The 26,802-nt window shown below is 40.2% G+C and overlaps 1 protein-coding gene across 49 annotated transcripts in view, besides 6 other annotated features; it reads right to left on the bottom strand.

Annotated features, from left to right (window-relative positions):
• Positions 1 to 25,068, bottom strand: part of R3HCC1L (R3H domain and coiled-coil containing 1 like) — a 110,241-nt gene extending 85,173 nt beyond the window's left edge. For 15 of the 49 annotated variants that reach the window (XR_007061959.1, XM_047425063.1, XM_047425074.1 and 12 more), the window contains exons 1-2: positions 25,019 to 25,068; positions 3,578 to 3,632 (exon numbers count right to left, since the gene is read on the bottom strand). The gene's annotated coding sequence lies outside the window, so the exon portion shown is untranslated. Of the gene's footprint in view, positions 1 to 444; positions 509 to 2,151; positions 2,263 to 3,577; positions 3,633 to 24,700 lie in introns of all 49 variants that reach the window. The other 34 variants (XM_011539642.2, XM_047425079.1, XM_011539641.2 and 31 more) reach the window with 7 other exon arrangements.
• Positions 5,054 to 5,804: an enhancer, noted in NCBI's record as "H3K27ac hESC enhancer chr10:99913678-99914428 (GRCh37/hg19 assembly coordinates)". NCBI's record gives its function as "activates a minimal SCP1, AML or CMV promoter by ChIP-STARR-seq in naive H9 embryonic stem cells {active_cell/tissue: H9 hESC(naive)}" and the evidence as "EXISTENCE:reporter gene assay evidence [ECO:0000049][PMID:30033119]".
• Positions 5,805 to 6,556: an enhancer, noted in NCBI's record as "OCT4-NANOG-H3K27ac hESC enhancer chr10:99912926-99913677 (GRCh37/hg19 assembly coordinates)". NCBI's record gives its function as "activates a minimal SCP1, AML or CMV promoter by ChIP-STARR-seq in naive H9 embryonic stem cells {active_cell/tissue: H9 hESC(naive)}" and the evidence as "EXISTENCE:reporter gene assay evidence [ECO:0000049][PMID:30033119]".
• Positions 7,308 to 8,060: an enhancer, noted in NCBI's record as "H3K27ac-H3K4me1 hESC enhancer chr10:99911422-99912174 (GRCh37/hg19 assembly coordinates)". NCBI's record gives its function as "activates a minimal SCP1, AML or CMV promoter by ChIP-STARR-seq in primed H9 embryonic stem cells {active_cell/tissue: H9 hESC(primed)}" and the evidence as "EXISTENCE:reporter gene assay evidence [ECO:0000049][PMID:30033119]".
• Positions 17,084 to 17,203: an enhancer, noted in NCBI's record as "active region_3862". NCBI's record gives its function as "activates an Ori minimal core promoter by ATAC-STARR-seq in GM12878 lymphoblastoid cells {active_cell/tissue: GM12878}" and the evidence as "EXISTENCE:reporter gene assay evidence [ECO:0000049][PMID:35858748]".
• Positions 23,852 to 24,641: an enhancer, noted in NCBI's record as "H3K27ac hESC enhancer chr10:99894841-99895630 (GRCh37/hg19 assembly coordinates)". NCBI's record gives its function as "activates a minimal SCP1, AML or CMV promoter by ChIP-STARR-seq in primed H9 embryonic stem cells {active_cell/tissue: H9 hESC(primed)}" and the evidence as "EXISTENCE:reporter gene assay evidence [ECO:0000049][PMID:30033119]".
• Positions 24,370 to 24,509: an enhancer, noted in NCBI's record as "active region_3861". NCBI's record gives its function as "activates an Ori minimal core promoter by ATAC-STARR-seq in GM12878 lymphoblastoid cells {active_cell/tissue: GM12878}" and the evidence as "EXISTENCE:reporter gene assay evidence [ECO:0000049][PMID:35858748]".
• Positions 25,069 to 26,802: the final 1,734 nt, after the last annotated feature.

Here is a 26,802-nt window from a genome sequence, read left to right as displayed (position 1 = left end):
AAGAACTGAAGGGGCTCCTACTGGCCAAGTCAGGGACAGTGTCAAAATAAATAAAGTACTATTATAAATAAGTGTAGAAGGAATAATGGAATTAGAATATCACCAATTAAGGACCATTATGAAAATTAGGCAGAAATCACCAATGGATACTAAAATTAGTGAGCAAAAGTTCAAGGAGTAACAAGATGTTTACAACAAATGGATACTAAAATTAGTGAGTGAAAGTTCAAACAGTGACAGGATATTTACCAAGTATCTACGTATTTTTACACAAAATACTTTAAAATTACAAAGGGACTGTGACTATGAATAGAAAGAGAATATAATGCCACTAAGCTATACACTTAAAAATGGTTAAACATAAAAATAAATGATGTATATTTTACCACAAAAAAATTACAAAAGGAAAAACAGTAACAATCAAGTGATCCAAAATCATATTACCAGTATTTGAACATCTTGTGCCTCCTGATATGATGTAAAAGCATAACAATACTTTGCGGTATTCCTGCCAAAAATGAATAACCTTAATTAAACCATGAGAAAACATCAGATGAACCCAAACTGCACATGTTCTACAAAATAACTGTCTTGCAGTCTTTGGAAATATCAATGTTGGCTGGATGCAGTGGCTCACACCTGTAATCCCAACACTTTTTGGAAGGCCAAGGCAAGAGGATCACTTGAGCCCAGGAGTCTGAGACCAGCCTGGGCAACACAGGGAGAATCTGTCTCTACAAAAAATAAGAAATTAGCCAGGTGTGGTGGTGCATGCCTGTAGTGCCAGCTACTCAGGAGGCTCAGGCAGGAGGATTGCTTGAGCCCAGGAGTTCAAGGCTGCAGTGAGCCATGATCACACCACTGTACTCCAGCCTGGGCAACAGTGAGACCCCCATCTCCAAAAAAAAAAAAAAGTCAATGTCATGAAAAAAACAGGAACTGCACCAGATTAAAGGAAACTAGAGATATGACAACTGAGTGCACTCATGACCTGGAATTTTCTTTTGCTATAAAGTACAATGGGCCAATGAGTAAAATCTGAATGTCTGTAGGTTACTTAATTAATATTAAATCAACGTTAATTTCCTGATTTTAACAACTATACTGTGGCTTATATACAAGAATGTCCTTGTTTTTAGAAAGTGCACACTTAACTATTTAGGTATAAAAGGGAGTAAGATCTACATTTTACTCTCACGAGAGAGAAATAAGAAAGGGAATGCAGTAAAATGTTAACATTTTGGGTATTTGGGTGAACTCTCTGTACCACTCTCGGAATTTTTCTGTGGTCTGAAATAATGTCAACATAAATTAAACAGAAAAACAAAGATGTCAGTCAGCACAGTGCCTGGCACATAATGTACAATCAAGTAAATGGGAGTTAGATATTATTAATGAGAATATAATCTCTAGGATTCTGTGCAAAAAAATTCTCGACTCAAGAGCCATTTATGGTTGGAAAAAATGGGGGAAGGAACAAAATAATGCATATAGTATGCCCCATTTAAACATACGTCCACAAATACATAGGCAAATGCATAAACAAAGACTAGAAAAATATATACACTGATCTGTTAATAGTGGGCAGCTCTGGGTAGTGTAATTAAAGTGATTCTTATTTTCTTCCTCATGTTTATCAGCGTATTCTAGTTTTCTTACAATACAGACGTAACATTTTTGTGGGTTTTCCAATGATGATTTTTAGAAATTAAAGGAATAGCTCACAATCAAGGAAGGTATAACTATTCCTTTTCTGTAGCAGTGCCCTCTCTGCAGACCTATGCTTAGTTACTGCATTTCAGCAACATATTCTCTTCCTCTACCTTTCACATATCAGAAGTATAATAATCATGTAATACTATTGTAATATTATTTCACATAAGAATATCCAGTTAGTCTTATAGCTGTTTTTGTGTTAAAAGAATGGAATACACCTACACATATAATTTTGCTTCTCTCCAAAAATTCTACTGAAATAAGTCAATTTGTTTTGTCTTAAAACATAAATCCACAAGGATAGACAGCAGAGAAGAGAAAAAAAGTAACAAAGCTTTGGAAGTTATATATTGATGAATGCTCAATGTGTAGCAGAACTTAAAAAGCCAAATTCCAAACCAGCAGTAGAGAAAGCTGCCACTCAACCCAATTTACCATCAGAAATCCTCATGAGAGTCAGGGACTGGCCATACCAACTCTGGAACTGGAAGTGAAATGCCGGGAGGGCACTGGGTGAAAGGAGCGATCCTGAGATCCCCTCCTCCTCTGTGAAAGAAAGTTTGGGATTATCTCTAAAATGCAGAATAGACCATCTATGGATCAGGGGCTGACTGGAAGTGCAGTGGTCTTTAAAATTGGGTGATTAAGTAAGCATATTGAACCTAAAATCTATCGCCCCACCCCCATTCCATACACCAGGTCCCAGAAAAATGCCAACTGTTCTATACTGAAAGGTACCCACAAGCACCCAGGACAGTGGATAAAAATAAACACAGACCCACACCAAAGCACATCACTGTGAAACTTCAGAACACTGGGGACAAAGCAGAGATCTAACAAGTTTCCAGTGAAAAGATCCAAATGAAAGAAGAGGGTTCACATTGGCTTAAGACTTCTCAAAAGCAACAAAGGATGAGGAGAAAAAAGAAACTATGCCTTCAAAATTCTGAAGAAAAATATTTCCAATCTAGAATTTACACTTACCCAAACTATATTAATCAAATGTGAAAATAGAAACCAAAAATATTTTCAGACATGGAAAGGCTCAAAAAATTATCTACCATGTACGGTTTCCTAGAAAGTTACTAGAAGATTGAGAATTTTAAAGTTCTTACAAATTTAGGAAAGACTGAGTGTTTGTAACTATAGTAAAAAGTTACCAAAGACTACTTACACCCATTCGATTGTAAAAACAACTTACTTTTCTTTTACAAGCCAATCAGTGTTAGCTTAGCCCCTTACTTCTGAAAGTCAGTCAATTTAAAGTTAGGAAGAAAGTCACTACCATAAAATACCCAAGTGCCAACCAATCAACAACGGTCTCACCCACGTAATCATTCCTCTATAGATTATGTTAATCTGCTTCTGCTGCCTCTTAAAATTTTCTAATCCCTGAGCACCACACTCCCCCAAAACACTATATAAAACTAGCAATTTGCTTTGTTCCAGGACATTGTGCCCATTAGATATTTTAGATAGTGATGGTCTCATCATCCTTTGACAACAAACAAGGAAACAAACCAAAGGAAAGAAGAGATGAGATATGGAAAACAAGATATCCAACACAAGAGAGAAGTGAAGGAATACCAGCGAATGGGACTCTAGGATGGTAACTGTGCACCAGCAGCAGAAGGCAACCAATCCAGATTGAAGCTATGTGAGAGGGCAGGCATGCTGAAGGCTGTCATCCTCATGCTCTCTGGCATGGTACCATCTTTTGAATCCAACACAACTACTAGAGGATGTGATCCACCTAAGCAAGAGGTAAATGAAGTCTGAAGAAGATATGAGTTCTAACGATATTCGGAGAACCAAACCCAGGAGAGAAAAATCTAAGGATAACAACAAGTGGAAATCATACCAGGAAAACAGCAATGCAGCAGGTGCAGGCTTCAATAGTAGGACACTGGAAGTCTCTAGAAGAGAAATTTCCAAGAATTAAAAAAAAAAAAAAAATTCAAACTGACAGATTACTGTGATTGACCTTGTGGAAAACTGCACCGAGGGGCTATTTAAGACACTATCAGCAAATAAAATTTGCACAGGCATAGTAATGTAAATATAACATTAACTATTAGACTTAACCAAATATTTTAATATAACTAAATTAAGAAGCTAGGGAGAAGCAGCAGTGGAGATGGTATTTAATAACACTAAAACTTTCTCTACCATAATAGAAACTCCAAATATAATGAAAAAAAAAAAACCAGTAAATCAAAAGATAGCATTGTACATACATTATTTTTAAATACAGAGATATGTTGATGCCAGAAGAAATAGCTTAAGGAGTTGAAAGTAGTTACTTTTAGGGAGAGGACTAGAGAGAGTGGGGAGTGGTGGGACAAAAATGACTCACTATATTTTGTTATAAATCCTTTTTTTTTCCACTATTGGACTTTTTAAAACATGTTTATTTTAAACTCTACATCTATTGATAAAATATTTTAAATTATTTTTAAAAAGCCAAATAGCAACATATAAACTTAATTGTTCATCATTCAAAAACATGTCTAAAGAAAACATTTTCAACCGAAAGGGACAGAACATCCTACAGAAAAAGTTTCCTTTTTGTTAGAAGATCTTTATATTTCTAATAGTGAAAGAGCACAAACACACAAAATATAGAAGCTTCAAAAATAAAAAAAATTTAAGCAAATAATTACCAATTGAGTAGACAGTAAAGATTCAGGAATTGTAATACTAGAAAGATTATAGGTCTGACCTTACTTACAAATTCATTAATGATCAGGAGACAGTGCAAATAACACATTTAATTAAATCTGCTCATTTATCTATTTTAGGAAGTATAATTAACAGCAGTGAGACAGAGTAGTAATATAAAAGGACAGAGACAGATTAAAAACATTGGCCAAAAAAACAACCAAATTGGAGAGTATTTCCAAATAGAAGACTGGGTAAAATTACAGGCTTAAAACAACAGAAGAGGGTTATCAGCAGCTTATTTACCATCAGTTTTACTTCACACTGTTGTCACATGAAATAATTTTGGCCAACACTAATGTTAAATGGGGGGATGTATACACACACATGCACATAAACACATACATACGTATATATACGGATATTTTTTTCTTTATGAGAAACTGATAATCCTAATTAAGCAAGGATTCATGAAGAGATTACATCCTAAAAACAACATCCTGTTGATGCAATTTGACAAGAGTGAATTTGTACTCATAGTTCAGTAATTATAAAAACTCTATCAAGAATAATCAATAATGAATTAAACTGTCCTAAAGACAATTAACTGTTATCTACCCTGTATTCTTCATCTAGCTACACTGGGATTATTCTCACTGTTCCTGCTCTTTATTTGAACGGCCAGGCACTGACCATTCAAAATAAAGTCTACATTTCCCAGCCTCTCCAGCAGCAAGGTGTGGCTATGTGGCTAAGTTTGACCAATGGAATATGAGCAAAAGTAGTATACACGGAACTCCCTAATCCAAAATCTATAATGCTACAAAATCTAAAATGTTCTGAGTGTCAACATGATGCCACAAGTAAAAAATTCCAAACCTGATCTCATGTGACAGGTTGCAGTCACAATGCAGGTACCCAACACATAGTTTATTCAGTGTCCCCAAGGAAAGAAAGACCCTCCCAGCTGCCATCAGCTGCAATATATATCTGCACACACCAGATTCCTCCATACAAGCATGCCCACAAAGGGTAATAAAATGACACGTGTACACGCTGGATACACCAATGGGAGGCTCCCCACAATGCCTCACATGGGGCTAAGATGTACTGCCTTACTATTACTCACTATGCTCTTTCTTCCTTTTTTTTTTTTTTTTTTTTTGCTTATTCTCTGCTCTGTAGTATAACGATATGGTTGAAAGTATCAAAAAGGCCTGCATGATATCCACAGAGTAATGCAAACATTCCAAAATGTGAAAACAATGTGAAACCGTTCTCTGGATCTAAGCATATTGATAAGGGATACTCAACCTGTAATATAACTTCCAGGAAGTATCCTTAAAGGAAGTGAGATGTGTCCTTCTCTTTCTCCTTCTGATGATTGCAATGTATGTGAAAAAGCTGAAGCTAGTAGCTCTCTTAGACCCTAAAGTGTCTTTGGAAAATAATAGAATCTGAACACAGTGGGGAAACGTGACACCACGGCAAACCACGTGAGTCCTAAACTGACTACTTCTGGAATTTCTTTTTTTTTTTTTTTTGATGTAAAACAGTTTATTCTTTAAGTGCAGGAGTGTGTAACTCAATCCTTACTTGGCATGACCTTAGATCCTGTTTATAATTTGGTATCTTATTGCCACAAACAGTCCATTCTGTCTGTCTTATGATCACTGTTTCAACATTAAGGCTGGTCAGCTGTTGTGTCTAAACTTCTTTTTTTTTTTTTTTTTTTTTTAATTGATCATTCTTGGGTGTTTCTCGCAGAGGGGGATTTGGCAGGGTCATAGGACAATACTGGAGGGAAGGTCAGCAGACAAACAAGTGAACAAAGGTCTCTGGTTTTCTTAGGCAGAGGACCCTGCGGCCTTCCGCAGTGTTTGTGTCCCTGGGTACTTGAGATTAGGGAGTGGTGATGACTCTTTAACGAGTCTGCTGCCTTCAAACATCTGTTTAACAAAGCACATGTTGCACCGCCCTTAATCCATTTAACCCTGAGTGGACACAGCACATGTTTCAGAGAGCACAGGGTTGGGGGTAAGGTCATAGATCAACAGCATCCCAAGGCAGAAGAATTTTTCTTAGTACAGAACAAAATGAAGTCTCCCATGTCTACTTCTTTCTACACAGACACAGCAACAATCTGAATTCTCTATCTTCTCCCCACCTTTCCCCCTTTTCTATTCCACAAAACCGCCATTGTCATCATGGCCCGTTCTCAATGAGCTGTTGGGTACACCTCCCAGATGGGGTGGTGGCCGGGTATAGGGGCTCCTCACTTCCCAGAAGGGGCGGCCGGGCAGAGGCGCCCCCCACCTCCCGGACGGGGCGGCGGCCGGGCGGAGGCGGGCCCCCACCTCCCTCCCGGACAGGGCGGCTGGCTGGGTGGGGGCTGACCCCCCACCTCTCTCCCGGACAGGGCGACTGGCCGGGCAGGGGCTGACCCCCCTCCTCCCTCCCGGACGGGGTGGCTGCCGGGCGGAGACGCTCCTCACTTCCCAGACGGGGCGGCTGCCGGGTGGAGGGGCTCCTCACTTCTCAGACGGGGCGGCTGCCGGGCGGAGGGGCTCCTCACTTCTCAGACGGGGCGGCTGCCAGGCGGAGGGGCTCCTCACTTCTCAGACGGGGCGGCCCAGCAGAGACGCTCCTCACCTCCCAGACGGGGTCGCGGCCGGGCAGAGGCGCTCCTCACATCCCAGACGGGGTGGCGGGGCAGAGGCGCTCCCCGCATCTCAGACTATGGGCGGCTGGGCAGAGACGCTCCTCACTTCCTAGACGGGATGGCGGCCGGGAAGAGGCGCTCCTCACTTCCCAGACTGGGCGGCCGGGCAGAGACGCTCCTCACTTCCTAGACGGGATGGCGGCCGGGAAGAGGCGCTCCTCACTTCCCAGATTGGGCAGCCGAGCAGAGGGGCTCCTCACATCCCAGACGATGGGCGGCCAGGCAGAGACGCTCCTCACTTCCCAGACGGGGTGGCGGCCGGGCAGAGGCTGCAATCTCAGCACTTTGGGAGGCCAAGGCAGGCGGCTGGGAGGTGGAGGTCGTAGCTAGCCGAGATGGCGCCACTGCACTCCAGCCTGGGCAACATTGAGCACTGAGTGAACAAGACTCCGTCTGCAATCCCGGCACCTCGGGAGGCCGAGGCTGGCGGACCACTCGCGGTTAGGAGCTGGAGACCAGCCCGGCCAACACAGCGAAACCCCGTCTCCACCAAAAAAATATGAAAACCAGTCAGGCGTGGCGGCGCGCGCCTGCAATCGCAGGCACTCGGCAGGCTGAGGCAGGAGAATCAGGCAGGGAGGTTGCAGTGAGCCGAGATGGCAGCAGTACAGTCCAGCTTCGGCTCGGCATCAGAGGGAGACCGTGGAAAGAGGGCGAGGGAGACCGTGGAAAGAGAGGGAGAGGGAGACCGTGGGGAGAGGGAGAGGGAGAGAGAGAGAGCGAGCTGGAATTTCTTACTCAACAGACATGAACTTCTATCACATTTAAGTCTCTGGTACTTGGTTGCAACTAAATCTAATCCCAATTCATATAACCTCTACACTAACATATGTGCCTTGTTTTCCTTTTTTCTCTAAACAATCTCCCTCTACTCTTTTACTGGCTCCTTTTCTGCCTCCTGCACCCTTACTATGGGTATTCCCTAATTCTTCATCCTTAGTCTTTTCTGCTCTTCTCTAAGGTTTAGGCCAAACAGTCTTAAAAAACATATCTCTATGTCTCATCTATTGAGCTCCAATTTTATATTCAGCTGCCTATCATTCCACTAGCATGCGACATAATTATATAGGAACATAACTAATTTTTAAAACAAAATAGATAAACAGACAAAGTGGTGGTAGAAACAATAATAGTAGTTGCGGTGGTGGTAATAAATAGCTAATATTTACTGAGCTCTTAGTATTTGCCAGCCACTGTTCTCAGAGCCAATCCTCACAACAATCCTACAAAGTAGAGTATTATCACCACCTCCATTTTACAAATGAGGAAATGAGGCCCAGACAAATTAAATAAATTGCTCAAGACACAATGCACTAAAGAGATCATTCAAACCTAGGTCTCCAGAACCCAGCCTCTTAACCAGCGCACACTAGACCTTCTTCCAAAGTACTATCACACATTCTTCCAGTTCCAAAATGGCAGCGTAGAAGCAAGCTGGCTTCACTCAACTGCCCCATAGAAAACCAAAAACAAATACAAAGTGCTGAGATTATCACAAGCAATATCCCAGAATTCAAAAATGAGGAGGAGACAGTTTCAGGGCCATGGAGAAGTGAGAAAATCTAAGCAGGAAAGGAAAACCGAACTTCCATAACCATGATGCCCCTTTCACCAACATGCTCAGCACCAAGAATGCAGAAAATTTCCCCCCGACTCACAATCACTACACCGGAAAAAGAGAATAAGGTGGACAACCAGCTTCCCACCATCGTAGGATCTCTGGCAGGAGACCTGTCTCTGCCTCAAATTACAGGCAGTTTTGGGAGTATGTAAAGGAAGAAGTATCCCTGAGGACAGCCAGAGACAAAGAGGGGAGGGGGGACTACTGTTCCCAGCCCTAGAAACTCTGCTCTGTGACTCAGCCAAACGAGATGCCAAATCAAAACAGCTGTTCAGCAGCACCACGCTGTAGGAGGTTCATTCCACAAGTCACCTGGGCATGAACCCATAGCCAGCCTTCTCACACTACTGGAATATCTCCTGTGGGATGCCTCCCATGCAGGAGGGGCAGCATACTGATTGGTTACTAGAACCGAGGCAAACCTGGGCTTAAGGTGACAGCTGGTGCCGAAAAGGAGGCAGCAATCTAGCAGGAAAAAAAAAAAGAAAAAGAAAATCAAGAGATGTATTACAAAGAATCACTAAGCAAACACATAATAAAAACCAAAACAAGTAGATCCAAACATGGGAGCTTGAAAAACAGAAAACAAGGCCAAAAGAAAAGACTGGAACAAAGAACTATCCTTCAATGCAAATATACAGATGCACATCCACAAGAAACAACAGCAAACAGGGAGCCAAGGCCTCCTCTAACAGCAAAGTGAGGAACCAACTGTCCCTAGCAAGACAGCAATTTGGGAACCCTCCAACCAAGAATTCAAAAATAGCCATTTTAAGTGAATTCAGTGATCACCAAGATAACACAGAAAAGCAATTCAGAAACAGATTGGAGAAATTTAACAAAGAGATTGAAATAGTATAAGAAATCAAATATTGGAACTCAGAAATACATTTGCTGAACTGAAAAAGTCATTAGAGGCTCTCAACAGCAGAAAGGATCACACAGAGGAAAGAATCAGTGAACTCAAGAGGCTATTTGAAGATACACAATTAAAGGAGAAAAAAGACCAGCGCTGCCAAGTATAAAAAGCAAATGTTAATAGATCTAAAGGGAGAGATAGACTGCAATACAGTAACAATAGGGGTCTTCAACACTCCACTCTCAGTAAAGGACAGATCATCCAGACAAAAAAACATCAACAAAGAAACATCAGAGTTAAACTACACACTAGAAGAAATCAGCCTGACATTTCTAGAACATCCCACCCAAGTGCCACAGAACACACATGCTTTTCATCCAGACATGGAACATTCTCCAGAACAGACTATATCTTTGAACAAATTCAAAAAAGCAGAAATCATGTGAAGTATCTTTTCTGACTACAATGGAACAAAATTAAAAATCAATAACAAGAAGTAGTTCAGGAAACACACAGATGCATGGAAATTAAGCAACATCTGAATGATCAATGAAGAAATTAAGAAGGAAATTTAAATATTTCTTGAAACAACTAAAAATGGAACTGTAACACACCACAATCTATAGAATACAGCAAAAGCAGCGGTAAGAGGGAAGTTATAGCAATAAATGCCTACATCAAAAAAGCAGAAAGACTTCAAATAATCTAATAACGTGCCTCAAAGAACTAGAAAAGAACAAACCTAGCCCAAAATTAGTAGAAGGAAAGAAATAATAAAGATCAGAGCAGAAATAAATAGAATTTAGACTACGGAAAACCAATGAAATAAAAAGTTGGTTTTTTGAAAAGAGAAACAAAATCGACAAAACTTCAGCTAAACTAAGAAAAAAGTGAAGACCCAAATAAAATCAGAAATGAAAAGGAGACAAAACAAGTGAGACCAAGTGAGACCATAAACACAAAGAATCATTAGAGACTATTATTAACATCTATATGCCAACAAATTGGAAAACCTGGAAGAAATGGATAAATTCCTGGACACATACAACCTATCAAGATTGAACCATGAAGAAACAGAAAAACTCAACAAACCAATAAGAAATAGCCAGATTGAAGCCGTAATAAAAAGTCTCCCATTAAAGAAAAGCTCAGGACCTGATGGCTTCACTGGTGAATTCTACCAGACATTCAAAGAATACCAATTCTGCTCATACTCTTCCAGAAAACTGAAGGAGAGGGAATACTTCCCAACTCATTCTACACAGCCAGCATTACCCTGATTCCAAAACCAGTCAAGGACACAACAAAAAAAGAAAACTATGGGCCAGTATCACTAATGAACATAGACGTAAAAATACTAGAAGATCAAATTCAACAACACATTAAAAAGATAATTCCCCATGATCAAGTGGGATTCATCCCAGGGAGGCAAAGATGGTTCAACATATGCAAATCAATAAACATGACACATTACATTAACAGAACCAAGAACAAAAAACCCTATGATCACTTTTATAGATGCTGAAAAAGCATTCAATAAAATCTAATATCCCTTTATGATAAAAACCCTCAGCACATTGGGTATAGAAGGAATATACAAAATAATAAAGGCTATATATGACAAACCCACAGCTAATACCACACTGAATAGGGAAAAACTGAAAGCCTTTCCTCTAAAATCTGGAACAAGACAAGGATGCCCACATTTACCACTTTTATTCAACATAATACTGGAAGTTCTGGCCAGAGCAATAAGGCAAGAGAAAGAAATACAGGGCACCAAATTGGAAAGGAGGAAGTCCAATTGTCCCTCTTTACAGACAAAACGATTTATATACAGAAAAACCTAAAGATTCCACCAAAAAATTCTTAGAACTGATAAATTCAGTAAAGTTGTAGGACACAAAAATCAACATACAAAAATCAGTAGATTTATATATGCCAATAGAAAAGAATCTGAAAGAGAATTCAAGGAAGCAATCCCATTTGCAATAGCTACAAAGAATCAATTTAACCAAAGAAGTGAAAGATCTATACAAGGAACATTATAAAACACTGATGAAGGAAACAGAAATTGATACCAAAAAATGGAAAGATATTCCATGCTCATGAATTAGAGGGAGTAACACAGTTAAAATGACAATACTACCCAAAGCAATGTACAGATTCAATGCAATCTCTATCAAAATACCAATGACATTCTTCATAGAAACAGAAAAACAATCAAAAAAATTATACAGAATCATAAAAGAACCTGAATAGCCAAAGCAATCCTGAGCAAAAAGAAGAAAACTGGAGGTATCACACTATCTGACTTCAAATTACACTACAAAACTCTGATAACCACATCAATATGGTACTGGCATTAAAACAGACACATAGACCAATGGGACAAAATAGAGAATCCAAATATAAATCCATACATTTACAGCCAATTTATTTTTGACAAAGGCACCAAGAACATAAAATGGGGAAAGAAGAGTCTCTTCAACAAATGGTGCTGGAAAAACTGGATAACTATACTGAGAATGATGAAACTAGGACCTATGTTTCACTGTACACAAAAATCAAATCAAAATGGATTAAAGACTTACATGTAAGGCCTGAAACCATCAAATTATTAGAAGAAAACATTGAGGAATTGCTCCAGGACATTGATCTAGGCAAAGATTTTTTGTGTAAGACCTCAAAAGCACATGCAACCCAGGCAAAATAGACAAATGGGACTACATCAAGCTACAAAGTTTCTGCACAGTAAAGGAAACAATCAAAGTAAAGAGATAACCCACAGAATGGAGAAAATACTTGCAAACTATCCATCTGGCAAAGGATTAATAACAAGAATATACAAGGAGTTCAAACAACTCAACAGCAAAAGAACAAACAAATCAGATTGATTTAAAAACAGGCAAAAGATCTGAATAGATGTTTCAAAAGATGACATTCAAACGGCCAACAGGTATATGAAAAAAATGTTCAACATCACTATTTATCAGAGAAATACAAATCAAAAACCACAATGAGATCTAATCTCACGCCAGTTAAAATGGCTTTTATAAAAAAGGCAGGGCATAACAGATGCTGGTGAGGATATGGAGAAAGGGGAACTCTCCTACACTGTTGGAGGGAATGTAAATTAATAGAGCCACTATGGGGAACAGTATGGAGGCTCCTCAAAAAATGAAAAATAGAGTCATCATATGATCCAGCAATTCCACTACTGGATATATATCCAAAAGAAAGGAAATCAATATATTAAAGAGACATCTGCACTTCCATGTTATTTTTTCACAGCACTATTCACTATATCCAAAATATGAAATCAACCTAAGTGTCCATCAATAGATACATGTAAGAAGAAAAAGTGGTACATATACACAGTGGAATATTATTCAGTCATGAAGAAGAATGAAATTGGGAGTCTCTCTGAATCTATTCTGGTTCAGAAGGTTGCCCTGATAAAAATAATTTAAAAGTAAAACAAAAAATGTTTTAAAGAATGATATCCTGTCATTTGCAGCAACATAAATGGAACTAGAGGTCATTGTGTTAAGTAAAACAAGCCAAGCTCAGAAAGACAAATATCATGTGTTCTCACTTATACATGGGATCTGAAAAGTGGATCTCTTGAAGATAGAATGCAGATTGGTGGGTACCAGAAGCCAAGAAGGGGTGGGGATGGGGAAGATAAAAAGAGGTTGATTAATGGGTACAAACATACAATTTGATAGAAGAAATACGACCTAGTGTTTGATAGATCAGTAGGATGACTAAAGTTTACAATAATTACATATTTCAACTGTTTTTAACAAAACAAAAGACAACTGTGTAAGGTGACGGATATCCCTACTTACTCTTATTAGATCTTTACAAATTATATAAATTTATTATCACATGTCCCCCCCACCAAAAAAATGGGTGAATTGTATAGTATGCAAATTATTTGTCAACAGAGCTGTAACCAAAAAAGATGCTATCACAGCTTAAGACTTTTTAATGTCCCCAACAATCACAATAATTATTAAAATATCCTCCATAGTAATAAATTTGATGTTTCTGCAGATTAATTTTTAGAAACTGCCAATTATTACTTAGAAATATGTATGGTAAATAGATGGGTGACCAAGTAAGATCATATTCTTTTGGGGACAAGGGATATGACCATCAAGTCATGAAAATGGTTTTCTTTTTTTTTTTGAGATGGAGTCTCGCTCTGTCTCCCAGGCTGGAGTGCAGTGGAGTGATCTTGGCTCACTGCAACCTCCGCCTCCAGGGTTCAAGTGATTCTCCTGCCTCAGCCTCCCGAGTAGCTGGGATCACAGGCATGCACCACCACACCCACCTAATTTTTGTATACTTAGTACAGACAGGGTTCCATCATGTTGGCCAGGATGGTCTCGATCTCCTGACCTCGTGATCCGCTGCCTCAGCCTCCCAAAGTGCTGGGATTACAGGCGTGGGCCACCGCGCCCAGCGAGAATGGTTTTCTTATGTGGCTCTACAGGTTCTAAAAGCAGTTTCAAAAGACAAATTCCAAAGAACATTTATTTGCTAGAATAAATGCATGTCCCCAAAAACATTACTTTAAAAGGGGCAGCATTCATTTAGATTAATCAATTTTTAAAGCACCAGACTTTTAAAACTACCACTTAAATAACCTAATGCCTAAAACTGAATATATTAGAAACTGAACTCGTTACCTTTCTCCAAGACCTATCTGAGATCCTTTCCCAATGCCACTATCAATGACACAGTACACTTCATATGTCAGGCTCAAAATTTTGCGGTATTCTGACTCCGATTTCTAACCCCATATCTTACTCTTCTTCTTCCACAAGAGATATCATGTTTTCTATTTTTACATTATTCCTACTTCTGTTTCCACATTATTCCACAGTACAATTGAAATACTGTACTCTTCAGCAATTCCCTCTACTTGAGCTTATCAAACATACAAAGTTGCCAAGGCAGCCTTAGTCAAACACTGTTTTCATTATATGACTCTCAACAGAAGTCCTGTCACCTATTGGATCAAATTTAAGTTTTTCAGCCTAGCCTTCAATATTGTCCCTTAATTCTTCTTCATTATCCCCACACACATATAAACTTAACAAATCCTATCTCCTTACTACTCATCAGTAAAAATCATTCTATTTGTGGAGTACTGTTAAGATCACTTGTTTGTCTCACTCAGTTCACATACTGTACTCATTCTTGCTCCCAACTTCACACCATTCCCTCCAGAGTTTTCTTCTGTCCCCTCCAGTCAATTTGTTACTCTTTCATTTCATTCAAGATCCTTCTCCTCCATTAGGCCTAAATAACCTGACATAAATACTGCTGTATTTTGCACTCCTCAACTTAGAGATCATTCAGTAGCAGAACCAGAAGAATCTCAAAGATAGACCAGACTAGGACTTCTTTTGCGTATGAATAATGTTCTAAGCAGAGGGTTAACTTTCATAAGATTGTTGTGTCAATACTTTGGAAATCTGACAGCTGACACATGGAAGCCCAGAGGTATCCTATAACTTGCCCTAGTTTTCAGTTTGGCAAGGACAAAGCCAGAATTTGAACCCCAGTCTCCTAGGTTCCCATCCAAAACGAAGACAAATCTAAAGATTACTGCCCAGGCTGGGCACGGTGGCTCACGCCTATAATCCCAGCACTTTGGGAGGCGGAGGTGGGCAGATCACAAGGTCAGGAGTTTGAGACCAGCCTGGCCAACATGGTGAAACCCCATCTCTACTACAAATACAAAAATTAGCCAGGTGTGGTGGTGCGCCCCTGTAATCCCAGCTACTCGGAAAGCTGAGGCAGGAGAATTGCTTGAACCTGGGAGGCGGAGGTTGCAGTGAGCTGAGATCACATCACTACACTCCAGCTCTGGTGACAGAGCAAGACTCCATCTCGGGAATGAATGAATGAATGCATAAATAAATAAATAAATAAATATTACTGCCCAGTAATATAACTCATGCTACATTCCACATTTTTGTTTTTGTAGAGATGGGTCTCACTAAATCACCCTGGCTGCTCTCAAACTCCTGAGCTCAAGCAATCTTCTTGCTTCGGACCCCCCACAAAATGCTGGGATTACTGAGCCACTGCCCCGACCCACTATATATTTTTTAAAGCAGGACACAAAGTTTATATATAACAGCAAGAGATTACAATTTAAGTATGTGTGTGTGCTACGGTAATAGACACACAGAAAACAGAATAGGGTAATAAACCCCAATGTTAACAGTTACTTCAAGGTGGTGAAAATATGGTTGTATTTTCCAAATCCTCTATAATGAATACATATGAACTATTAATATGTTTAATTACAAAGTAATGCCCTAGACCCTGGTTGGAATAGTTTATAATGTACGGTCATATACTGAATTTATGACAGTAGTAATAACTCAAAAAGTTAAAACTACATGACATTATGAAGTCAAAGATACATTCCTCAACCCTGATTTTAATGTTTTCTCTCCACTGAGGGGGCAAACTGCAAGTTAATAAACTGCAGCCAAGATCTTATCCTAATTTTTGAAGCACTGTCCTTCACCAAAGTGTTAGAAGCAATGAAAAGTTTCAGGATACCCAAGGAAGCAAACAAGAAACATGGTACAAAAAAGAAATACTATGGCAAAAAGGCAAAGAACAGCAATGTCACAGTGACTAATACTGGAGGAAAAAACCAAGAACTACATGGCTCCTGGGGCTTGTCAACTCCAGTACTTAATTTAAATCAGTGGTTCTCACACGAAGGATCAAGAGGCATAAAAAGTCACTAGAAATTCTGAACGTATTGAGAGATGGTCACAAGTTTGAAACAGTTACGTGTGATGGTAAGAGAGAATTACTGATCATATAAACAAATCAAGACTATTTCTTTTCCTTCTGGATCTTCTCCTGAAATGAAAGCACAAAAGTTCTGGGAAGATTCATGTGATAAAAAAGTTCAGAACTACCAAAACAAGCTAATAATCTCATCTTTTCCTAACACTAAGTTTTTAACTGCAGTCCAAAATCCCTAATCCAAAACTTGTGGGACCAGACAAGATTCAGAAATCAGAAATTTTCAGATTTAGAAAAGGTTAATATGGTAAATGTTCCATATGTCACAAAATATTCCAACCAGAATCAAACACATTAGTATTTCTTCTTCTTCTGTTTTTTTTTTGTTTTGTTTTGTTTTGTTTGTTTGTTTTTTTTTGGAGACAGAGTCTTACTCTGTGGCCCAGGCCAGAGTGCAGTGGCATAACCTCAGCTCACTATAATCTCTGCCTCCCAGGTTCAAACGATTCTCCTGCCTCAGCCTCCTGAGTAGCTGGGACTACAGGCACATGTCGCCAGACCTGGCTAATTTTTGTATTTTTAGTGGAGACAGGGTTTTGCCATGTTGGCCAGGCTAGTCTCAAATTCCTGACCTCAAGTTATCTGCCCGCCTCAGCCTCCCAAAGTGTTGAGATTACAGGTATGAGCCACCGTACCCGGCCTACTTTTTTTTTTTTGAGACAGAGTCTCACTCTGTCGCCCAGACTGGAGTGCAGTGATGCAATCTCCACTCATTGCAACCTCCACCTCCTGGGCTCATGTGATTCTCATGCCTCAGCCACTCTAGTAGCTGGGACTACAGACACATGCCACCATGCCCAGCTAATTTTTGTATTTTTAGTAGAGACAGGATTTCCCCACATTGGCCGGGCTGGTCTCGAACTCCTGGCCTTAAGTGATCCACTCGCCTCAGCCTCCCAAAGTGTTGGGATTACAGGTACAAAAAAAGAAAAGAAAGAGAGAGAGAAAAAAAGAAAGAAATGAACCTGGAACTGATTACATCTCAGAGGTGAGATCATGAGTTGATTTTGTTTATTTCCTGATTTTCTAAACTGTCTGCAGTGAACATGCATATCGTTTATAAAACAAGACTTGTTTTAGTAAATGGGGTTGAGGCAAGACCCAAGTATAGAAATTGACCAACTTGCAAATTCAGTTAAAAAGAAATAATAAGATCTTGTTCAGAGCTTAAAAGCCAAGAAAATAATTTAAAATTGCTTTAGGTTTAAAAGTTTTTACAAGTTTAGTACAAATTTTTTAACAAAATAACACCATCAGCAGTAGGGAAAAACCCTTACTTTCAATAGAACATTTATTCATTGACATTTAAAAAGTGATACTGTTTTATTAACTCATTTTTTAACTTGCTACCTCCCACCCCCACAATGTTTTTCTTACAGTGACTCTGACACTCCTGTGAGAAGCAGATCCCATGTAACTGTCACTCTCTCCTTGAATCTGGCAAGCTTGTGATACTACAGAACTTCTAAGGCTTGGTCACAAAAAGTAATGCAGTTTCCACCTGGTTCTCTCTAGATGTTCACTCTTAGAAAACAGCCACCACCATGCTGCAAAGAAGCTCAAATTAGCCTATCTGGGTAGGTAGGTGTTCTGAGGGACAATCAACATCAATCACCAGCCATGTGAGTGAAGAAGCCTCCAGGTTCTAAGTACCAGCCATAAAGTCACCACCAGCTTTTGAATCTTCCCAGCTAAGGCTTAAGCAAGCCATCTGTGCAGAAACTGTCCTGTCTGAATTCCAACAGATCCATAGCACAATAAAATGGTTGTTTTACACCATTATGTTTTGGAATGGCTTGCTACAAACACAACAAAAGGTAACCAGAAAAAAAGTGCCCTTTCCCAGTTTGGTAGCTTTACATTACACACATACACACCACCCCTAAAATCAAGTTTTTCTCAACTTTAAGGAAGGTCCAATCCAATGTGCAATTTGGCAGACCTGTTTAAATAAGACAGTTTCTACTTAGGAGGCTTAACAATTCATCTCATATATACCCTGAATACCTATGATATGTAAGATACTTTCCTAGATTCCTAAGACACAAAGATGAATAACATATAGTCTGTAGTTAAAAGTTTACAATCTAGGAAGAGAATAAAATGGGTACACACTAGTTTATGAAAGTACCTAAGTGCCAAAATAGGATTATAAAGTTAACTCTGCCACAAATAGTTACAGCATCATTTTGGACTTATAAACAGCTTTTGGGTCCTTCAGGAAAGTAGATGGGCTTTAGTAAATGCCTAGAAAAAGAAGACTGGGAAAAAAAAAACATGAAAAATGTGGGCCTCATTATGTTATGTTTAGATTGTGAGATTATGAGTGTTTTCTGTTCTCCTTTTAAATTTCCTGTATTTGCCATGTTTTCTATAGTAAGTTATATATTAGATTTTTTGAGGAAAAAATTAATATTAATCTTAATTTTTTTAAAAATGTGTTTAAACTACACTGAGAGGTCACGTAAGTAGTTAACAGGTAATACATAAATTGACTTGATATTTGCATGCTGAATATGCAAAATAAACTTAGTATTTAAGGAAAAATGTTAGTGTAATAAAAATTTCATGTTACTTGATTTACTATTAATATCTGTTTATTTTCCCTTTCCTAGCCAACTATAAATATTTACATGTTCTTCTCAAATAACAGACAAAAATCCAATAAGCTCTCCATCTTACTCATGACATTCACTCTTTCTGTCTCCCTCCCTGTATCTGTCTGTCCCTCATTTCTAACTCTGCCCGTCTGTCTACATCTCTGATTACCCTGCTTTCTAACTCTGCCTAGGTGACTGTCCCTCTCTGTTTTTGACTTCTCTGTCTCTGACTGACCCTCCTCTCTCTCTGCCTATTGCATGTGTCTCTATGACTCTGTGTGTAGGTGTCTTTGAGCTCCTCTCTTGGATTCTGCCTTTCCGTCTCTCCCCCAGTTATCCACCTCATTTTTAATACATCCTTGCTGTTTACTTTTCCTTTTAATATTTATAAACAAGCAGAGTTGGTTTTATTAACCCTATTTTAAAGACAAGAAAACAGAAACAGGACGACTGGCATACAATTTGAGAAATCAGGATGTAAATCCAACTGCTTCCCTTCTTTCTTTAATAGTCTTCTGGCATTCCATGGCAAAGAACTTGAAACAGCACAACTGCAAGCCAATATGAACACTACAGGCATTCAGATTCTTTTCTAAGAGACAAATGTGATATTAAGGAGTGCTACACACCTTTTGCCCACATTATTCACTCTGCACAGGTTAAATGGTCATGAACTGTCAGCCATTTGCCTATCCCAGAAATCCGTATCCTCATGTTCAGTTTGACCCATGTTATTTGGAAACCTCACGATACTAGATACTAGAATCTGTTTTCCAACAGTGCTTCTCTGCTTCTGTTTTTATCCCTAGTCCCAATCCAGCTATATCTGGCATTAAAAAAAAAGATACAAGAAGGACAACAAATATTAATAAAACTGAAGGGTGAATTTGAAGAATGAAAAACTATACAGAAGGCTAGCATGAGACAGTGAAAAATGGACACCACAGACTCGAAGCAATTGGTCCATGTTTTATTAAGAGAAAAGAAAATTCTCTCCAAATGCAGGCTTACTGCTGCTAAGTAACACCCTATAACTTTTCCTCTATCTAATGCTTTGACAACTGGAATTTCTCTGTAATTCAATAAGCTCTTAGGAGTTCCCCAAGCTTCATCCATCCTGCTGGGCTCATTACTGGATAATTCTAAATGTTTTCTGCACTAGCGAAGAGCACATTTCCTCGTGGGTAGCACAACAGAAGGAGGGTACTCTTTCAAGGCATGAATAGCCTAGCTCCATTTCTTCTCACTTCTCCTATAGGTGAGAAGTCTACAACAAATATAATTCAACAACTAAAAGAAATGTCTAAATTATAAGCTTAGGTTACTGGGGTTGTCAAAGATCATCCTACAGGTCACGAGTTTTATACATAGTGTGACGGCTAATCATATATTTATATAAGCTAATGAAAAATCTATACTTTTGCTTCTGGCACTAGTTCATTTACTTATGTCTAATGAGTTGCATTAGGGCCAAATAAAAAATATACCAGTCTTTTCATTCATTCTGGTGAGATATTTGTGAATAGTTAGCTTATGGAGCTAATGAGGACAAGGTCACAGACTCAAACTCCATGCTGGCCAATTAGCTTTGCTGTGTGTTTCTAGGTTCCATGGTCACAGTCAACAACCTTAACCTTGGCTAAGAAACACACTGATCATTGAAGCATTAGGGGAATGAATATAGATGTATCAACAAAATCCATACCTTTCAGAAAAAAAATAAAAATTAAAAATAGTAATAACAACACCACCCCAATCTTTAATATTATACTAAACCTGGCTAATATGTGCCTCATTCGAATAATCTTTAATCTTCTCAACCATGCAGGGTTAGTCTAATCTGTCTTCCAGATGATGAGAAACTGAATTCAGAATGATCATATGAACCAAAGTTACATCTAGTGAGCCTGGATTCAGACCTTGGTCTGTCTTGACTCCAAAGCATAGGTTATTGCCACAATGCTACATGGCCTCTCCAGAGTGCACCTCAGTGACCTAGGACAATCAACAAAATGTTCCTATTCAGAACTATTCAGCACACTCATTACTGAGCATCCACTATACATACTCACACACTATAGATGAGAATTAGCATACCTTCCAAAAATTCCTTTTAAGTAAAAAACAGTCAAGGAACAAAAGTGTTTAATTGATTTTTTTTTTTTAATAAAGATGAAGTCTCACTTTGTTGCCCAGGCTGGTCTTGAACTCTTGGCCTCAAATGAGCCTACCTCAGAGGATCTCAAAATGCTGAAAGTACAAGAGTGAGCTACCAGGCCCAGCCAAAAGTGTTTAAGATTAAAACATAAAGGAAAAATTAACACATTATAGCATACAAAGTAGATTTTAATGGAAGTGACTTTCTATTGTCATAGCTTTGTATACAAGTCTGGTGTGAAAAAATAGTTATCTTGCTGATTCATAACTAAAGGTAAGAAAGAAGCTGGCAAAACATAGCACAGGCATACCACATCAAAAAAGAGAGTAAAGGAAACATTTCCTAAGCATCTGAATCTGCAGATATCTGGTAGTCAACATGGCACTTGAAGGAAGTAAAAAATATATACTTCAATTCTAAACTCCAAGACTTTGCCTTGACCAACAAACCATTTTTCTCTATAAGGCTTTCCTCCTTGGTTTTTCTCAACTCTCACTCCCTGCAGATACATACATACCAATGCCATCATTAGCATCAGTCACTAAGAAATGCCATCTTGAAAAAATGAAGGTCACCAAGTCTCCCAGACCCTATCCAATAAGCTTAAATTTTAAAGTCTAATAGTCTGGCTTAAAAAAAATAAAAATAAAAATAAGGCAGGAAGACAAAACTGTTCCATAAACGTCTATCCTAGTCAATATCTGAGTCATAAAGATAGATAATTGCTCTGCTACAAGCTACAATGTACAGAATTGCATTCTTACTACAGGTTGTAAATGAAGCACCAGTTCAATTTCAACAAACTAGGTACAAAGCAACATTTGGAATCTCTAGAAAAACAGAAACACAGCAAAGCCCAATAACCTTGCACAACAGCATTTTAGGAACCTCTAAAGTTGAAAAAAAATCTAATATAATTTTTATATAAAATGCAATTGCTAAAAAACAAACTGCAATCTGACAACTTCTATTTACAGTATTTTTTAAAGTTTGTGAATTAAGGATGACTATCCTCATTTTACAGATAAATGGAATTTCAGGAAAATACCTAAAATTATCATCATCACTATTATCATAATCATCAATAACAACAGCAACAAAATAATGAGAACTTTATTTGTACCCAGCACTAGTAAGCCATTTATGGTCACATCTCATTTCATCTTTGTAGACACCTTGTGACATAATGCCATTTACCTCCATTTGAGAGATTAGGAAACAGGCTCAGAGAAGTCAACTAATTTGCCCAAAATCAAAAACTACAGGTTGAGAATCCCTAATCGGAAAATCCGAAATCCAAAATGCTTACAAACTTTTTTTTTTTTGAGACGGGAGTCTTGCTCTGTCGCCAGGCTGGAGCACAGTGGTGTGATCTCGGCTCACTGCAACCTCAGCCTCCCGAGTTCAAGCGATTCCCCTACCTCAGGCTCCTGAGGACATGGGACTACAGGCGCACGCCACCACGCCCAGCTAATTTTTTTTGTATTTTAGTAGAGATGGGGTTTCACCATGTTGGCCAGGATGGTCTCGACCTCCTGACCTCGTGATCTGCCCACGTCGGCCTCCCAAAGTGCCAGGATTACAGACGTGCGCCACCGCGCCCAGCCCCAAAAACTTTTGACACCACCAGTGGAAAATTCCACACCCGACCTTATGTGACAGGTCTTAGTAAAAATTCAATCCAAACTTAGTGTTATGCCCAACAGAGTCTCAATCTATCGGCCAGGCTAGAGTGCAGTGGCCCAATCTCTGCTCACTGCAACTTCCACCTCCAGGACTCAAGCGATTCTCGCGCCTCAGCCTCCCGAGTAGCTGGGACTACAGGCGTGCACCACTACACCTGGTTAATTTTTTGTACTTTTAATAGAGATGGGGTTTCATTATGTTGCCCAGGCTGGTCTTGAACTCCTGAGCTCAGGCAATCTGCCTGCCTCAGCCTCCCAAAGCGCTAGGATTACAGGCGTGAGGCACCGCGTCTGGACACAAATTATTAAATTATTAAAAATACTATATAAAATTACCTTTAGGCTATGTATATAAGGTATATATGAAACCTAAATCAATTTCATGTTTAGATTGGGGTCCCATCCCAAAGATATCTAACTATGTATATGCAAATATACCAAAATCTGAAATTTGAAACACTCTGGTACCAAGCATTTCAGATAAGGATACTCCAACCTGTAGTAAGACACAGCACCAGGACTTGAACTCAAATTTGCTCGAATTTGTACACTAAGCTAATGCAACTTACTGTCATCCTCTCTTGTTTTTTGGACCATTTTCAAGTATTCTTCAATCAATAAATTCAGAATAAACACAGACTAAAAATACCTAACTACACTTTCTTACCCCTTTAAAAATTAATCGCAGAGGTCGGGCACAGTGGGCACAGTGTCAAACGCCTGTAATACCAACACTTTGGGAGGTCGAGGCGGGAGGATCATTTGAGCCCAGGAGTTAGACCAATCTGGGCGACATAGTGAAATCCTGATTCTACCCAAAAAAAAAAAAAAAACTGATTGCAGAATTAGCATTCTCTGTAAGGGGAAAAATAAGACAATAAGCAACTTGCTTAGTCTCAAAGCTTAATGTCAAAAAAAATTAAACAGATGGGATATTTGGCTATTTATATTCTGAATTTCAACTGTGACACAAGACACAAGACCTGCTGGGGACAGGTATTAGTTGTAGTACAACCATATCTGAGGAACGTTTACTGCTTTATGCTTGTACCTGTGTGATACTGAAGGAAGGTTATAACAGCAAGAGATAGTTGTGTGTGCTGAGGAAGAAGAGTCTAAATTCTGGTGGGCCTTAAAATCCAGATGAAGTTTTAAATTGACTCCACAGGTGGTAACGCCCTAAGGTCACCTCTTCACTAGGAACCTGGCATAAAAACATCTGTATGGTTCAGATTCGTTTCCAAAGACACTTTCCCCCTATTTATTAACTAATTTGATCTTCGTATAGACATGAACCTGGTTTTAAAACTCAACTGACCTAGACTGGAGACTGGGGGATGGCAAGGTTATACCCGAAACATACTTTAGAGTTCAAAGCTTTCGCAGGAATATCACTTCTGCTGAAGCCCACAACCCTGGAAGGCCGCAGGGCAAAGAACATTAACCCCACTTTTCAGACAACGAAACCGAGGCTGCGCTAAACAGACTACTGTACAAAAGATCACAGGTCCAGCCAAGTGGCGGACTGAGACTTCCCCCAGGATATCAGACTCCAAATCCTGTGCTCCTTCCCGTACACAACTGAGAGGGGGCTGCACTCACAAACTTTAAAGATCGGACTTGGGGTTTTTCGCAGGCCTGCCAAGAAAAAGCAGGAAGTACATGCTCCTTTATAGATTGCTCACTCCCAGCCCGTAGCCCGGGGCTCCCGGGCAGCGGAGGAGGCTCAAAGGCGAGGCTCGAAGCGAAGCCCGGAAACCGCCGGCAGCCCTGGGGGCCCACGGCCCCGCAGCCCCGAGGGGGTAACCAGGGACCCCGCTCAATACCTGTTGAAACCCAGAAAAAGCACGTCCTTTCCGCCAGGATCATTTGGGGCGAGCGCCCAAAGCGAGCACGAGCCCCAGTGAGTGCAAAAGAGCCCCGGGAGGGTCCCTCTCAACCGCGGGCCCGCAGGGGTCAGAAGGCGGGAGCTTCCCAGTAACCTCCGCCCCAGGCAGGGGGCGGCCCCTCGCGTCACATGAGGAAAAAAAATACCAGCAACAAACGACGGAATGGAAGTCTTGTCCCGGGCTGTGAAGGGAGAAGTGGGGATTAAAAATCCTAGCTTGAGGTACAGAGGGAGGGGATACGGGGCTGGTTGTTACCGGCGCGCTGTTGCTCTCCGCTTCCGCCGTCTCCGCGAAGCTCTATCTCTTCCGCTCGCGCCGCTGGGGCGCGCGTCAGGCCTCGGCTCCGCCCCCAACGCCGTGGGGCCTTCTGGGGGTTGTAGTTTCCGCGAGGCCCGGCCGCGCCCACTGAGTTCAGGTCACGTAGGGGAGAAGCTGGCAAAATGGCGAGTGCCGGAGAGCATTTCTGCTCCTGTCCCTTCAACCCTTCCTCATTCCTCTCGGCTATATACGTGCGCAAATCTCCTTACATTCCACTCAATTATACCATCTCACTTCCTCCGTTCACAGCCAAGTTTTTTGAAAAAGATAATCTACACTGTCTCTACTTGCTCATCTGTGTTCACTCCTCATCGCAGCTTCCGCCCCCATGGAAAATGCCTTGTTGTCATAAGTGTCCTTGTTGCCAAACTCATTGGAGGTATTTCCGGACTCATCTAACTCAAGCTTTAGTCATTTGACGCTATTGGGCATTATCACTTATTTTCTATGACACTATCCAGGTTTTCCTTCTCTGAATTCATTCTACTTTGTTTCCTCTAACTTACCTCTAAAATATTGGTGTTTTCCAGAGTTCTTAAAATTGGGGTGGGAGAGGGGACACTCCAGTCCCTTCTCACCTGAGCTCATTGTTTGTATTCCCAACTTCCTAGACAAGACCTCTCCTCATCCATGCCCACAGGCATCTCCAGTGTCCTTGAAAAGTGAACTACTGGGGCCAGGAACAGTGGCTCATGCCTGTAATCCCAGCACTTTGGGAGGCCAAGGCAGGTGGATCACCTGCGGTCAGGAGTTCGAGACCAGCCTGACCAACATGGTGAAACCCTGTCTCTACTAAAAGTACAGAAATTAGCTGTGCGTGGTGGTGGGCACCTGTAATCCCAGCTACCCAGGAGGCCGAGGCAGGAGAATTGCTTGAAGGAGAATCGCTTGAACCCGGGAGGCGGAGGTTGCAGTAAGCCAAAATTGCACCACTGCACTCCAGCCTGGGCAACACAGGGAGACTCCGTCCCCCAAAAAAAGAAAAGTAAACTACTACCCCTCCTCCCTACTCATTAATATTCACTCTTTAACCTGATTCCTCCTTTCTCACTTCCTCTTCCTCCAATATTCAAATGGTCACCAAATCTTGGAGATTCTATTGTAGCAGGACGAGCCGCAGACAAAACCTCTCAGACACCAAGTTGTAGAACGAAGGGCTTTATTCAGCTGGGAGCATCGGCAAGCTACTGTCCTAAAATCCAAGCTCCCCGAGTGCACAATTTCTGTCCCTTTTAAGGGCTCACCACACTAAAGATTTCACATGAAAGGGTCGTGATTGATTGAGCAATCTGGGGTGTATGTGACAGGGGCTTCATGCAGTGGTAGTCAGAGTGAAACAGAACAGAGTACAATGTTCTTCCATACAATGCCTGGAATCTATGCTAAGTCATGAGTTGATTTTTAACTACTAGGTTTAGGCCAGGCAGGCCCAGGCCTGGTTTCAGGTCTGGTTTTGGGTCTGGTGCCTGGTGCTGGGCTGCCTGCCTTTGGTTTCACTTCCTTGTTTTTTTTCTTAAAACAGGTACTGAGTATAAAACAATATAAAACAATATGAGAGGGTCTCTTTCTTCTCTCACTATCTCCCAAGTACTCCTTGAATCTGTTCCTTCTTCAGGACTCCTAACTCATGACTCAGCTGCTCCTGTGGCCCCACCCAGAGGTGGACTCAGAGCATGAGGACTGTTTTCCACACCCCTATGATTTCATTCCCAACCCATCAG

Source organism: Homo sapiens, chromosome 10 (assembly GCF_000001405.40).
Source record: "Homo sapiens chromosome 10, GRCh38.p14 Primary Assembly".
In the NCBI taxonomy this organism is placed as follows: Eukaryota; Metazoa; Chordata; class Mammalia; order Primates; family Hominidae; genus Homo; species Homo sapiens.
This window is presented reverse-complemented; position numbering and strand designations above follow the sequence as displayed.